Below are 14046 nucleotides of genomic sequence, written 5' to 3' on the forward strand. Positions count from 1 at the left end.
GCCTTTGCCCCTCCATCCTACAGTCTTTGGCACTCACTTTTCTGACGTCCAGATCTGAGTATCTCACTCTGTGCCCACTCACCCTAACGGCACCACCTGTTCTGTAACGTGAAACCCATGACTCATCTCTGCACTCTCATTCTACCAATGATTCTCTTTATTGTCTTTACGGTTCCATTTTACACAGACAGCCTCCTCTCAACTCAGAAACTCTCCAGCTTCCATATTCCAAAAGAAACTCCCATCAGCTATGGCTTTCTTCTGGATGTTTTGGAATACAAACTACCTTTCATTGATCTCAATAATTTCAATGAGTGACATTGCTACAAATTAAATGATTAAAAATTTTTACAGACTATTTCAAAAAGTAGGGCCAGGTGGGGTGGCTCGTGCTTGTCATCCCACCTCTCTGGGAGACCAGAAAAGGAGGATCTTTTGAGATCAGGAGTTTGAGACCAGCCTAAGCAACACAGTGAGACCCACATCTCTACAAAATAAAGTAAAACGAGCCGGGTGTGGTGGCATGTGCCCGTAGTCCCAGCTACTTGGGAAGCTAAGGCAGGAGGATGGTTTGAAGCCAACTGTTCGAGGCTGCAGAAAGCTGTGATCGTACCACCTTAATCCAGCCTGGGTGACAGAGTGAGACCCTGTCTGAAAGAAAGAAAAAAAAAGTAACTCATTAATGAATCCATGGATTTGGGGTTCTGAAACCTTCTTTTGGTTCTTGGAGACCTTTCTCTTGGCTCTCTGTCTCGTTTACATCCATGCTTTCAGTACCAGGGAGAGGACTCCTAGTTCAACAGTGTGTGGGAATGAAGCAAGCAGCTCTGAGCACACAAATATCATTAAGAGATCTGGTGTTCCCACAGTGACTGCAGCCTTAAAACCGCAATTGTAAGTGTGATGCTAACATCTTCATTGAGGAACAACTGTGGGTAAAACTTCCCTACATTCACTGTATGGTGTTTAAGTGGTGAAATCACTGCATTATATGAAATAAGTACAATTATTCTCATTGAAGGCAGGAGAAAACGGAAGTTCACGAAAGATTATAAAGTGACTCAAAGGCACTGTTTAGTCAGTGGAGAGTCAGTACTTGAACACAGTCTGTCTGATTGCACAATTGTTCACAGCTGTGACCATGGACTTAATAAACCTCCAAAAGAGGCAGCAGCTTCACTGCTAGTTAGTCTTGACATTTGTGCTTGAACATTTATTTACCACTTCAGGACCAACACGTCCAAAATTTACACAGTTATCTTTCTTCCACTTTTTCCCTGTGATTTTCGCCAACGTCATCATTGAATTTTAAGTGATCCAGGCTTTAGACTCTAGTGACTTTTTGGTTTCTTCCTCACTCTTAACAGTTCCTTGCATCTACCTCAAAATGACCAAGGTCACATCAATTCCTTTCTTTGGAAGTTTTGACCTTTATTACTTTTTTTATTCTCAATTCCTGGTATATTTTCTTTTTTAGTAATGCTTAGAGCCAATCATTTGTTCCACCTAGTCCTCCTAATTTCAGTCTTAACATTTTTCAATCCGGTCTCTCTAGAATGTACCTCTGATGCTGCCAACTTCTTCCGAAATATTCAGTTTCTCCTATAAATAACTCATAAAACTTGAAGTTCTAGATACATTTCCTAACATTAATTCAAGATCCATCTCCTAAGTTTTCTCTTGGAGTCAACAGCCCTGTCAGAACAAACTACCTCTCATCACCATAACATATTCCCTATGACACATAAATTGTGTATAACTACCAATTCAATTTTTGAGGATTTACTTTAAAGTAATAAAAGATATTGATTATATAGTACTTTTATAATAATTGTTTTTAGGACCTCAGATGTCTAACCAAGGCTGGGAATCTGATGAGAGAGCCACTCTCCATGAAGCTGAAACAGGGAGATTCACCACCACTTACGTGAGCTGAATGTGAGACTGTCCAGCTCCTTCTCTACTGAAGGGGCTGTGGAAAATGATAAGAGGGACGATGCCTTGCTGTTGAGCAGAGTGAGGAGTGACAATGTGCGAGAGAATTTTCAGTCAACACTTGTCATTACAGGAGAACTGCACCTCAAATACGTAAGACCCGGATTATCCAAATATCTTAAACCATACATTTAAGTGACAAGGGTTACACGGATTATGCATGGGCTGCAATAAATACAACTACTTTCTGCAGGAATATAACTTCATTCTAGGCCCGAAACAATTCCCCCAAATAATTTTCCAAAGAAAATGAGTTGTTTACAGCAAAAAGTTAATCACAGGCGCATAAGACCTGAGGGAAGAACAGTGAAAACGAAGAGAAGAAATGAATCTTGAAAGATTCCAAATAGTAGAACTACCATGCACAGACCATAAAAGAACAATGTTTATCATGTTTTAAGACATTACAAACCAGACTGAAAATATCTGCAGGGAATAGGAAACTACCAAAAAATACCTCAGTGTTTTTGAAAAATAACTAAATAAATGTAGAAATGAAAATCACAGTAATTGCAATAAAAAACTCAATAGACAGATTTAATAAGACTATAAAGGATGCACTCAAAGATACCCGAAGAAATTTCCAGTGCATTGCACAGACAGATGAAGAGTGAGAAAATAAAGGAGAAGTTAAAAGGCAAGACACAGTGAGACACTAATCTTATCAGGTTTCTAGAAAGGGAGCAGAAAATGAAGGGCATGAAATATTTAAAGAGATAATTATTTAGAGTTTTCAAAACTGTTGAAAAAGAAAAAAATCTATACACTATGCAGAGAAAAAGAGTAACACACTCATGAAAGGAGTGGTAATTAGGTTGATACCTGATTTCAGTGGCACCCGGGAGACTGGAATGATGTATTCAGCAAGCTGAAAAAAAATGCTCATCCAGACTTCAACATCCAAGAATGAAGCTGAAGTGAAAACTAGAATTATCTGCCAAAAATCTATTTTCACTAAGGGAATGTCTGAAGTCTCCAGTTCAAGCAGAAGGTAAGTGATATTAGGTCCCCAATTTTAGATGCAAAAAGGAATAAAGAATAAGAAATGTGTGGGTAAACAGATGGGCACTCACTGAATCCAATAATAAGAGTAAGGCAAAAATAACAGATAAATCATGAGACAGTAATGTAAGATAACATCTTAAGATTCTGTGTTTTTCAAGGGAATAATGACAGCAGATTTTGAGAAGAGAATGTATATGTTGTAGTTTCTTGAGTAACCACTAATAGGACAGGGGAAAAAGTAATTTAATTCCAAAAATAAATAAAGGCAGACAAATTGCATGAGGAAATTATAGTAAGAAGAAGAAAAGTAGAAACTAAAAAAGAAAAAAAAGAAATAAAACAAAGGAGGAACAAATAGAAAGCATAAAATGTAGGATTGATCTAAACCCAGATATATGAACTAAACACAATCTTAAGTAACAAAGACCAGAAAACTGGACTAGAACACAAATCTAATAATGTGTTGCTCCTAAGAAACATCTCTAATTTAGGGAAACGTAACTGTTTAAAATGTTAGGAAAAGAATTATGCAAATTCAAAACCAAAGAGATCTGATATGGCAATTATAGGAATAAAGAAAAACTTCAGGGAAAAAAGCATTACTACAAATAACTGAGTTATTTTTAAACTCCAAAAGATTCAACTCTCTGAGAGATACAAGAATTTTAAATGTATATATACCTAATAACATAGGTACAATGTTATCATTGCATCAATGAAATATTTCCAGGATTCAAAGAGAAATAAAAATCTACCACCATAGGGACAGAGCTTATCAAAGAAAAAAAAATTTAAAATTATTATTATTTAGTAAAACAATTATTATAAAAATACTACAAAAACAACTTGTTTGGTGTTGCTAAAGCAGAACTTACAGGGATATTTACAGTTTTAAATCCCTGTGCTAAAAGGCAAAAATGCTCAACTATTTTGGGCAGCATCTATCTTGGTGATCTATTTTTAATTACTCATGTTGGTATAACTCAGTATTCATGTGTTTAAAGAACGGAACTCAATCTCTGCTTCACACCACACAGTAAAAATCAAAATCTGAAAAGTAAGCAAATATAGTATTTAGAAGACAACAAAAAAGAATCGCTTTATGATTTCTATAAGGGAAGATTCATTAAGTCACAATATGAAAAATAAAAGTAATAAACAAATTAAAATTAGGAATTTTCAACCTCCACATGACACCAGAGTGAGAATAAAAAGGTAAGCCACACACTGCAAGACCTTATCAACACTTATAGCCTTCATATCACCAATATCTAGAATATATACAGACCTACCATAAATCAGCATACAAAAGAAAGACAACACAACATAAGACAGGCAAAAGTCCTGGTCAGGTATTTCATACAAGAGGAAATTTGAGCCTCTAAAACGTTTAATACAAGTCATTTAATCTTATTAATAATAAACAAAATGCAATTAAAATAACAACGTGTGATCCCATTAAGCAGCCAACAAAACAGAAAAGGATGTAAGACTGACGACATCGAGTTTCACGTGTATGTGGAACAATGAAAACTCCTGTCCGCTGCTGACACTAGTGGACATTACTGCAACCATATGCAGGACGAATTTTGGCATAGATTTTGGACTGAGTAGGGTTTGAAAGACTCCTGAGAAAACTATCAGTTGTGGCTGGGAGAACAGGTAAGAAAATCCTACTGGATATAACACAGCTGTGTTATTTAGTGGCAGAAAGTCTGGCAATACTCCTGGGTAGAAGACAGGAAATATCCACAATAGACTTGTACATTTTACTAATGAGAGTACTCAACAGAATGTTGAAAATGTCAAAAGTCTTCTCTTAGGTGCAGACAGGTACAGATAGAGGTAAGGTACATATAGAGATCAACATAAGAAGAATTTTTAATCAGAATTAGGATCGATCTCTCTCTCTCTCTCTCTCCCTCTGTCCCCTTCTCTCCCCCTCTCCTCCACCCCTCCCCCTGCAATTCTCTATCTCTCCAGCCTGGAATTGGGGACAAAGATGAATTTCAGAGTGCTGAGAGTGAGCTGAGTGTGGCCTTAAGAGGAAGATCAAATCAAACAATTCAAAGGTAAAGCTGTAAAATACTTTGTTACAGCTACACAAAGGTGTAAAAAAGAAGCATTCATGCAACTTCTCAACTAGGTTTGAAAAATCTTAGATATCCCAAAGCACGCTGGAAAATGCCTGAGGAACTGGACTACTTATGTTGTTTGGTAAAACCACAAAATTTCAAAGGCTGTTACACCAGCGTTTATCTAAAGGGACAGAGACCATTCAAAATGAAAAGAAGTCCCTAGCATTCCACCTCCTACAGTCAGGAAGAAGGCTGGGAAAGCTCCTGACCTGCAACATGGGCCATTTGGGAGCGGGGGAAAGGGAGGAAGGGTAAATCAGACAGCAGAGCCAAGTATTCAGGGCATAGCACCAATGGCAATGGAGAACCTCTCCAGGCAGCAGCAAGGAGAATTTCCTGCTGCCAGCGTCAAAGGAAAAGGCAACCGTGCCTGGATGGATTTTAGAATCATCACCGTGGGTCCCCACCCCACTGTGGGCCTATTTTAACTCTTCCTGGTAGGAGTGACTACTATGATCATCCCACCATCTTCCCATTGTGGGCTGGCTGGGGGTGGGGAGCTTGCCTTTTTAGTTCTCAAGTCTGCATTCAGAAAACCACAGTTGAAGAGCTGCACCAATTGGCTGCTGCCAAGGAGTCCATCTACACTTGGACCCAGTAAGGATGATGGCTACAAGACTCTAAGATGATGTCGTGATGAGAAGACACTTGTGAGAGTCTTCGAAGGGGGTGAGTGCATGCAGCCTGTGGGAGGCATATGGGTTATTACAGCCAGGGGGCACCCTCCGGTACGTCTATATTCAAAGATGCTCTCCAGCAATTCCTCGTCTCCCTTTATAGGGATGACAGTTTCCCATCAAGAGGCAGAGTTTATTCCTCTTCTCTTGGAACCTGAGTTTACCCTGTGACTTCTTTCACCAATAGAATGGAGCAACATGCTGAGCCTCTGACACTAGACATGGCGGTTCCTGCTGCTACCTTCTGAAACATTCACTGTTGATATGCTCCCTCTTGTAGCCCAGCAAACATACCGTGAAGAAATTTCATCAATCACATGCAGAAGCCATATGGAAACGAATCAAGTCCCACAGCCCACAGCCTCAGCTTAATTCCCAGCTATGGCCAAGAACACCAGCCCACCATGGGAGTGAGAGCATCGGCCCCGCAGCCATTCCAGTGCTCAGGCTGTTGCCAAATGGAGAAGAACCAACTAGTCAACCAACAAAGATGTGATAAATAATGCATTGTCACTGTGTAAGCCACTAAATGTTAGAGATTTTTTTTTAAACCAACAAAGTAAAGATTCGGTACAAATACCAAAAGATTGCTGATATTCAAAAACCTACATATGGAGACAGAAACCGCCCTATAGGAAGGAGCCTGTAAGGTAGCACCAAGTATTAATACCGAATGCCTAATCACCTCTTAGCGTGAGCTAGGCCTAGTGACTCATTTCTAACAAATAGTGCTTCACTTCCAGTGAAAGTAAGAAAAGTGATTAGATGTCACTTCCAAGATTTGGTTGGAAAAATTGTGACTTCTGTCTTGTTCTTTCTCTGTCTGTTTCTGTCTGTCTCTCAGACCTGTCTTTTTCCTTCCCACCCCAACATGCTCATGCTCTAAAAGACATCAGTTCATACACGGTAAACTGCCCAGTGAAGACACCCATATAGAATGGAAATATTGTTTCTGACCAACGGCCAGTGAGCACTGAAGCCTGCTATAGCCCTGTGAATGAGCTGGAAAGTGGATCCTCATGCAGGTGAGCCTTGAGATGATTGCAACTCGGGCTTATAAAAATCTTGCACATGAAATCATCCATCTTTTTTTTCTTTTGGTGTTAAATAAGATCAGCTTTCGTAACCTTTGCACTGCTTGACTTTCAGTAGTTACTATTAATCAAAAATGCATACAATCAGTAAAAACAAAACTACTAAGATACTTACACATAGAGTGATAATTGTAAATTTGCAAGTGTACTAAATAAAATGAATCTGACCATGCTGTCTATTCACTGTTAGAAGAATCCTAAAGTAATAACATTTGCAAGTGGAAATGTTCCAAATTCTTTTGTGTGCTTTACTCTTGCGATTTCAAGATATTAAGAAAAATATTGACAGTATCACATAAAACAGATTCTGCCTATGGCAACAGGCTTTCCTATATTTAAGAAACGCTACAAAGGCACAATGAGCAGCTGAGGACATTTCACTGTGGAGGATTCTAACCTTGGGTCACACTAGCACAGTGGAAAAGGTGTAGAAGCCTGTCATATGCTTCTTCCTCGAAATTTTCATATGTGATTTCATTTTTAGAAAAAAATATTCACTTTACCATTTTCACGACTATTCTTTGGAAAATAAGATTTTATGCAACCTTATTTTTCCAGATTTTAAAGTCAAGCACGAGACATTTTCATCCCAGAAAATCCACTGCTTATTGAGATGTTATGATTGGCTTCATAATAAAAGTACTTGAAATATAATCTTTCTTGGGGAAAAATACATATCATAAAATATCATGCTCATTATAACTTTATATAAACATTTTTTCGTTTATCTATTAAATTATAGAAACAAGCAACATGTTCTTTTAAAACTCTCACAATAGTCACTGCAATTATATGTATAATATTCCAATTTTAACAGCACAAAAAATTAAAAATTAGCTAAATATATCAAAATGGAAATATAGTTAGGCGTATATGTGTATTCTACACCTAAAACACACACGTTTAAAATGAATTACATTTTTCCACAAATTTCAGATGAAAATGTTTTTGCATAAGAAACTCTATAGAGCTGTCCTTTATTTTTTTAATCTAACATTAGTTTATAAAGCCATGAGTGAATCTAAGTCCATGTCTTCCTCCCTTTTATCCCTCCTCCCTTCCCACCTTCTGTCTGTCTTACTGTCTTACTGTTTATCTCTTTCTCTCTCCCTCTCTCAAACTTCCTTCCACCTTAGTTTAGGTGGAAGCCCACAGCCTCTGACTGTTTTGTGGCATCATGTTCAGGATAAGGGAGTGCTGCCACCTATGTAATTATTCAGGAAAACTGTACCACATTTCATTGGAATGGTGTATATATATTGATAACAAACCTTTACATATATCTGCCTTTCCTTGTGTTACAAAAAAGGATGGGCTTCTAAAGAGCTCTATAATTGCTGAAATTCTGAGAACTGATTAGTATTTTATAATTAGATAATTCTATGATTTCAAAAATATTTGACGTTGATACTGGATTTATTTCAAAATGAGATAGCTTCATAACATTCCTAAGCTTTGCCCTAGTCATCAAGCATTTAATTAATTCTAATAATGCCGACACTAAAATATGTAAAGAAATCTGGATTTAAAAAACTTTGATTTGAAATATTTAATAGCATAAAAACTTTTAATATAATGCAATTTCATCTTTGAATTTGCATGTTTAAAATTCTTCTCCTGAAATTTGTTATTGGAAACTTTCTAAAATTTCCACCTAGTAAGAGAAAAATACCAAAAAATAATATTAAACACAAAAAGAAACACTACATGTAGAGAAAGTTCTAAGTAAAACTTACCAAAAGTGAAAAAATATATACTTTTTAAATGCATAAAATAATGTTAATTTATATTTAGAATGGAAAAGAACCTCTAATTTCAGGATATTACATTCAGACATTATATTAAGACCTGATTTCTGTTAGCTCATTTTATTAAATAATTTGCAATTTGTTGCAAAATTTATTTTGTTGGTGAGAGATGCATGCAATGAAAAATCAAACATGTAGATGGCACTCATCTGGCACCAGAAAGATAAAATGGTTTCTATTTTGCTTTTGTACCTAAAAGAAATGAAGAATATGTTTTGTATGAAAGCTACACAACTAGAAATTTCAAATTCATAAGGTACTCTAAAAAATTTTAAAATGGTCTTTTGACACATGGAGAGTCCTTTAATGTTCATTTAATTTATATATAGACAATGAGAGGAGGACGAATAATTTTTACTTTGCTTGTTTTAGGAAAAACCAACAATAAACGTATGCAGATAAAATTTATAAGCACGTTTCTAAAGTTTCAAATGATTACAATGTACACAGATGTAGAGCAATTAAACGAAGAGATTCACATGTTGGAAACCATTCAGACTGGAAAGCAAAATCAATGATGGAATATACAAGTGCGCATTCTCCTTTGTTATTTTTACATAACTATATTATAAAACCAACTCTTCCCTTCTCCACTCCACCCCATTCAATCTCCTGCTATTGGAGCTGTTTGTTCAACAGCCATCAGACTACTTTACTATAGCTTTGAAAACTTACAGGATGGTAAAAGGTATCACCTTGACTGGGCCACTTGGCCGGGGGGTGATCTCTGGACCTGTACCCAAACGTTACTCTGGATGCGTCTGGATGAGATTAACATTTGAATTAGTGGGTTCAGTGAAGCAAGTGGTCCTCTCTAACGAGGATGAGCGGCATCCATTCAACTGAAGACTTGGATAGAACAAAATGACTCACAGAGAACTCCTCCTCCCTCCTTGCTTGAGCAAGGATATGGGTCTTGACATGCCTTCGGACTCAAACTGAAAAACTGGCTCTTCTTGGGTCTTGAGTCGGGTGATTTTCAGAGTGGAACTACACTTTTGGGCCTCCAGCTTGTCAGCTGCAACTCTTGGGTCTTCTCAATTTCTGTAATTGTGTGAACCAATTCCTCATAATAAATCTCTAGGTAGATAGATAGATAGACTTATAGGTGATAGATAGACAGACAAATAGGCAGACAGAAAATCTCCTAATTAGAACCTTGAATACACAAAAGGCACAAAGGCCTTCATGATCTACTCCTGCGTATCTCTTCTGCCCATCTCTTGCCTGGGAAACAGCTCTTTCAGCTTCCTAATCTTGGAACAGCCTCCCCTGGCTGACAAATTATATCCTGTCCTCTCCTTAGCCCCGTTTTCTGTCTCCTGAAGCAGTTTTTTCTTCTAAGCATTCTCTTCTTCATATTAACTAAAAAAAAAAAAAAAAAAAAAAATGGGTCCAGGCACAGTGGCTCATGCCTGTAATCTCAGCACATTGGGAGGACGAGGTGGGCGGATCACCTGAGGTCGGGAGTTCGAGACCAGCCTGACCAACACGGAGAAACCCCATCTCTACTAAAACAAACAAACAAAAAAGAAACAAGAAAAAAAAAATAGCCAGGCGTGGTGGCACATGCCTATAATCCAACTACTCAAGAGGTTGAGGCAGGAGAATCGCTTGAACCTAGGAGGTGGAGGTTGCGGTGAGCCGAGATTGTGCCATTGCAGTCCATCCTGGGCAATAAGGGTGAAACTCAAAAAAAAAAAAAAAAAAGGAATCCTCTCCAGAAGAATCATGTACTACTTAGCAAGTACACCATGCCCTCTGTCAGAAATGTAACACTGATGATCTCATTAATCTCAAAACAATACTCATTGCATAGGGTGGCTATCATCTCAATTTTTAGAGTTGAAGAACGTGAGACGTTGAGGTGACTGATAAAATTGGTAAAGGTCACACAGCAAGCAGGTGGCAAAGTCAGAGTATGAATACAGGTAATCTTATCCTAAGGGCCATAATCTGACCTATTAAAATGTCTTTCTAAAATTTAACATAAAAGAATCATAATGGGTAAAGCCTGGGGCCTTCATGGGATGTCTTCCTCAGCACTCAACTGGGTTACAGACTTGGCTTTTTGTTAATTTTCAAAAACTGCCCTATGCAGGTGGGAGTGGGGCCACTGAGGAGCAGAGAAGCTGACATGTTATTCCCTCTCTGAGGTGTGATGCTCTAGGGGCATTTTTCCTGGACAGCTCTGTTGTCACAGTTGCCTGGGACTCGAGATAACCATGGAGGCTTCTTTGAAGAGTGAGGAACGAAGGTCTTGGATCAGCCCTGACTTTTCCTTACAGCTGTAGTGGAATTTGTGTGTGACCCACGGATACAGAAAGGATGGCAGAAATTATCTGAGAGCTTAACTAGGGCTCAAGTCTCAGAGGGTGGAGGGGCTGGGAAAGGATGGGCTCAGTGGGACAGCTGCCAACAAGGTGGGCAGGTGGACTGGGTGAGAAGCCTGACTCCATATGGGCTCCCAAAGCCAGGAAGCTGCCTGGGAAAGCGGGCACTGGGCGGCACCATGCCACAGGTCAGACAAGAACAGATAACAAGAAGGACAGCTCAGGAGCACCGCCACCGTCCCGTCCCCCCGCAGGACGTGGGGAGGCGGAGCAGGGAGCGGGAGCCATTTGCAGGGGCAGTTTCAAAGAATCTAACTCACCAAAGCTTAAATCTGAGTTTGAAAAACGAGAGAATTCGCTAGATAAGTTTAACTTTCCTACCGCCAAGCAAAATCGTGAGCTCAGACATAAAAGAGAATGACATTTTTCTATTCTGGGGTTTTGCACATCTTGTAATTGTAAAACATACATCAATTGTGCTGTTGTTTTCAAAACAAGTGGATTGTCATAGGAATAAAAGCTGAAGACTTCACTTGCGGTAGACACTGTTCTGTAATCTTGTTTATAAATTGTTAAGTTTGTACATATAATCATATTTCCCCCACAAGAACAGCAGAAGCAATAGCAATAAATTCTCTAAAATAATAAAAGAGAGAGTATGGGGAGAGGCATATACATGTGTGTATATGTTTATATTGTACTCATATCTATTGAGCACAAAGAACAGTGTGAATATTTTACCTACCAAATCGTTACAATGTCTCAAATGAGTGGGAGTACAAGGAGTTTGGGAGATTTAATATTTTCCTTCAAGCATCTCTGTATGTTTTGACTTCTTAAGCGCTTACATTACTTTTACAAGATACAGATACCCAAAAAGCCTCCCACGTATCTCACAGTCTTCTGACTTCTTTCATGTCCTTCCCATTTGTTTGTTACTTAATAAATATTTATTGGCTGTTTTCCGTATTCCAGACATTATGCTAGATACTGAGGATGCAATATTTAAAAAAAATTGCTAACCTCATGGCATTAATAGTCTGGTAGTGAGAGACAATATGAAGTGTCATGCAGTGATAAGCAATGAGTGCTTTGGGAAAATTAGCTAGGATTAAGGAGTCAGTGGGTGGTAGGTAGGTAGTAGGTAGGAGAGGTGTGAAAGAGGTAACTCTTACATGAGCGGAGCAGGGGAAGGCAGAGAGGGCAGAAAAGGCCTCTGAGATCACGTGAGGGACCTAAGGGAAGAGGGAGAACCAGCCTGAGAACAAGGGGAAGAGTTTGCCAGGTAGAGGGAAGAGGATGTTTCAAGACCTCAAGGCTCGTTCAACAAAGGGACATCAGTGAACCCCGAGTGGCCGCGGCCGTGTGAGAAGACGGGAGTTAAAAGGATGGAGGTGTGGGCAGGGCAGGTGGTGAAGAGCCAGGGTCAGAAAATTCCCCTGACTCCCTGATTCTCCATCACCTAATGAGCTAAACATGTTCTTTATGTTTTTCAATAGATTTTTAAAAATAGTCAAAGAAGGATATTTGGTGACATGAGAAAAGAATATAAAATTCACATGCTTGTGTCCATCGAGCTTCACTGGAACATATCCATGGGCACTCATTTCTGCCTTCTTGCCACAAAGATGGAGCCCAGTAGCTGCCACAGAGACATGTGGCCACAAAGTCTCAAATATCTACTCTCTGCCCCTAAACAGAGGAGAAGCTTGCAGCTCCCGATACACAATGTCCTAGACAAACAGGACAAAATGAAAAACCACTGGAGGGGCTTGTAAAGAAGTGACTTGGCCTGACTTGCGTTTTCAAACATCACTCTGGCTGCTATGTAGAAAATAGTGTTGGGAACAAGAGCTTGACTTCTTGTACAACTGCATGTCTGTGTTGTAGCATTTTGTTCTAAAGTAATAATGTTTACTCATCCACAACTTCTAATAGATTGGTTACACACTTTGAGAATAAGCCGGGTTTTTGTTTGTTTGTTTTGATCTCAGTAAATAGAGCTCCCAGAATTCCTAAATTTAGTGGGTACTTATCGAATAATTACTAAAGAACTACTACATTCAAATCTTTTGCTGGAATTTGGCTGCAGGTAAACTTCATTTCTAGTCTCCTTTCCATGGCATTCTATTATTGTGTGTCTCTTCTTTTAATACATTTGTGAGCCTCTATCTTAGAATTATGATCCCAAATTGAATGTATAATTATCTGGCTCTGTATACATAGTACAGTAGAATTAAAAGTCCCTTTTGAACAACAGAAAGTGTTCTGGGAAATACTCATTAACTGTTGAGACTATCATCACATGAGAATAGTTCCCAAACATTTATTTCATTACTTGAGACTAGAAGAGCAAGTTGAATTGCCATAAAAGAGATTTGGTGCCGGGCGTGGTGGCTCACGCCTGTAATTCCAACACTTTGGGAGGCCGAGGCGGGCAGATCACCTAAGGTCAGGAGTTCAGAAACAGCCTGGCCAACATGGCGAAACCCCGTCTCTACTTAAAATACAAAAAAAAAACAAACAAAAAAAGCCAGTCATGGTGGTGCATGCCTGTAGTCCCAGCTACGCCGGAGGCTAAGGCACCAGAATCACTTGAACCTGGGAGGTGGAGGCTGCAGTGAGCCAAGATCACTGCACTGCACTCCAGCCTGCGCGACAGAGTGAGACTCGGTCTCAAACAAACAAAAAATAATAAAAATTTAAAAATAAAGAGATTTGGGATTAAATATAAAAGTTCCTCTTGATTTTAGAGTAACAGAACAAGAAAAGTTATTAACTATTCTTGTAGAAGGCAAAATAAAACAAGAAATCTACAGCCATGGACTCATAAATCAACCACCATAGACAAGAAAGACAAATCCTAAACAGAGGATATAAAATAAACTGTCACAATTTAGGATATGATGTTATAACATGATTAGCAAGAGTTAGTCCTGAGGAAGACAAGGAAGTGACTTCGTAAAGAAAAACAATCTGCGAAAACTCAAAGACTG

At 38.7% G+C, this 14046-nt stretch overlaps 1 protein-coding gene across 10 annotated transcripts in view; it reads right to left on the reverse strand.

Annotated features, from left to right (window-relative positions):
* NETO1 (neuropilin and tolloid like 1) overlaps positions 1-14046 on the reverse strand; it is a 125674-nt gene that overhangs the window by 68837 nt on the left and 42791 nt on the right. The window lies entirely within an intron of this gene.

The sequence above is a fragment of the Homo sapiens genome, chromosome 18, assembly GCF_000001405.40.
Source record: "Homo sapiens chromosome 18, GRCh38.p14 Primary Assembly".
Classification (NCBI taxonomy): domain Eukaryota; kingdom Metazoa; phylum Chordata; class Mammalia; order Primates; family Hominidae; genus Homo; species Homo sapiens.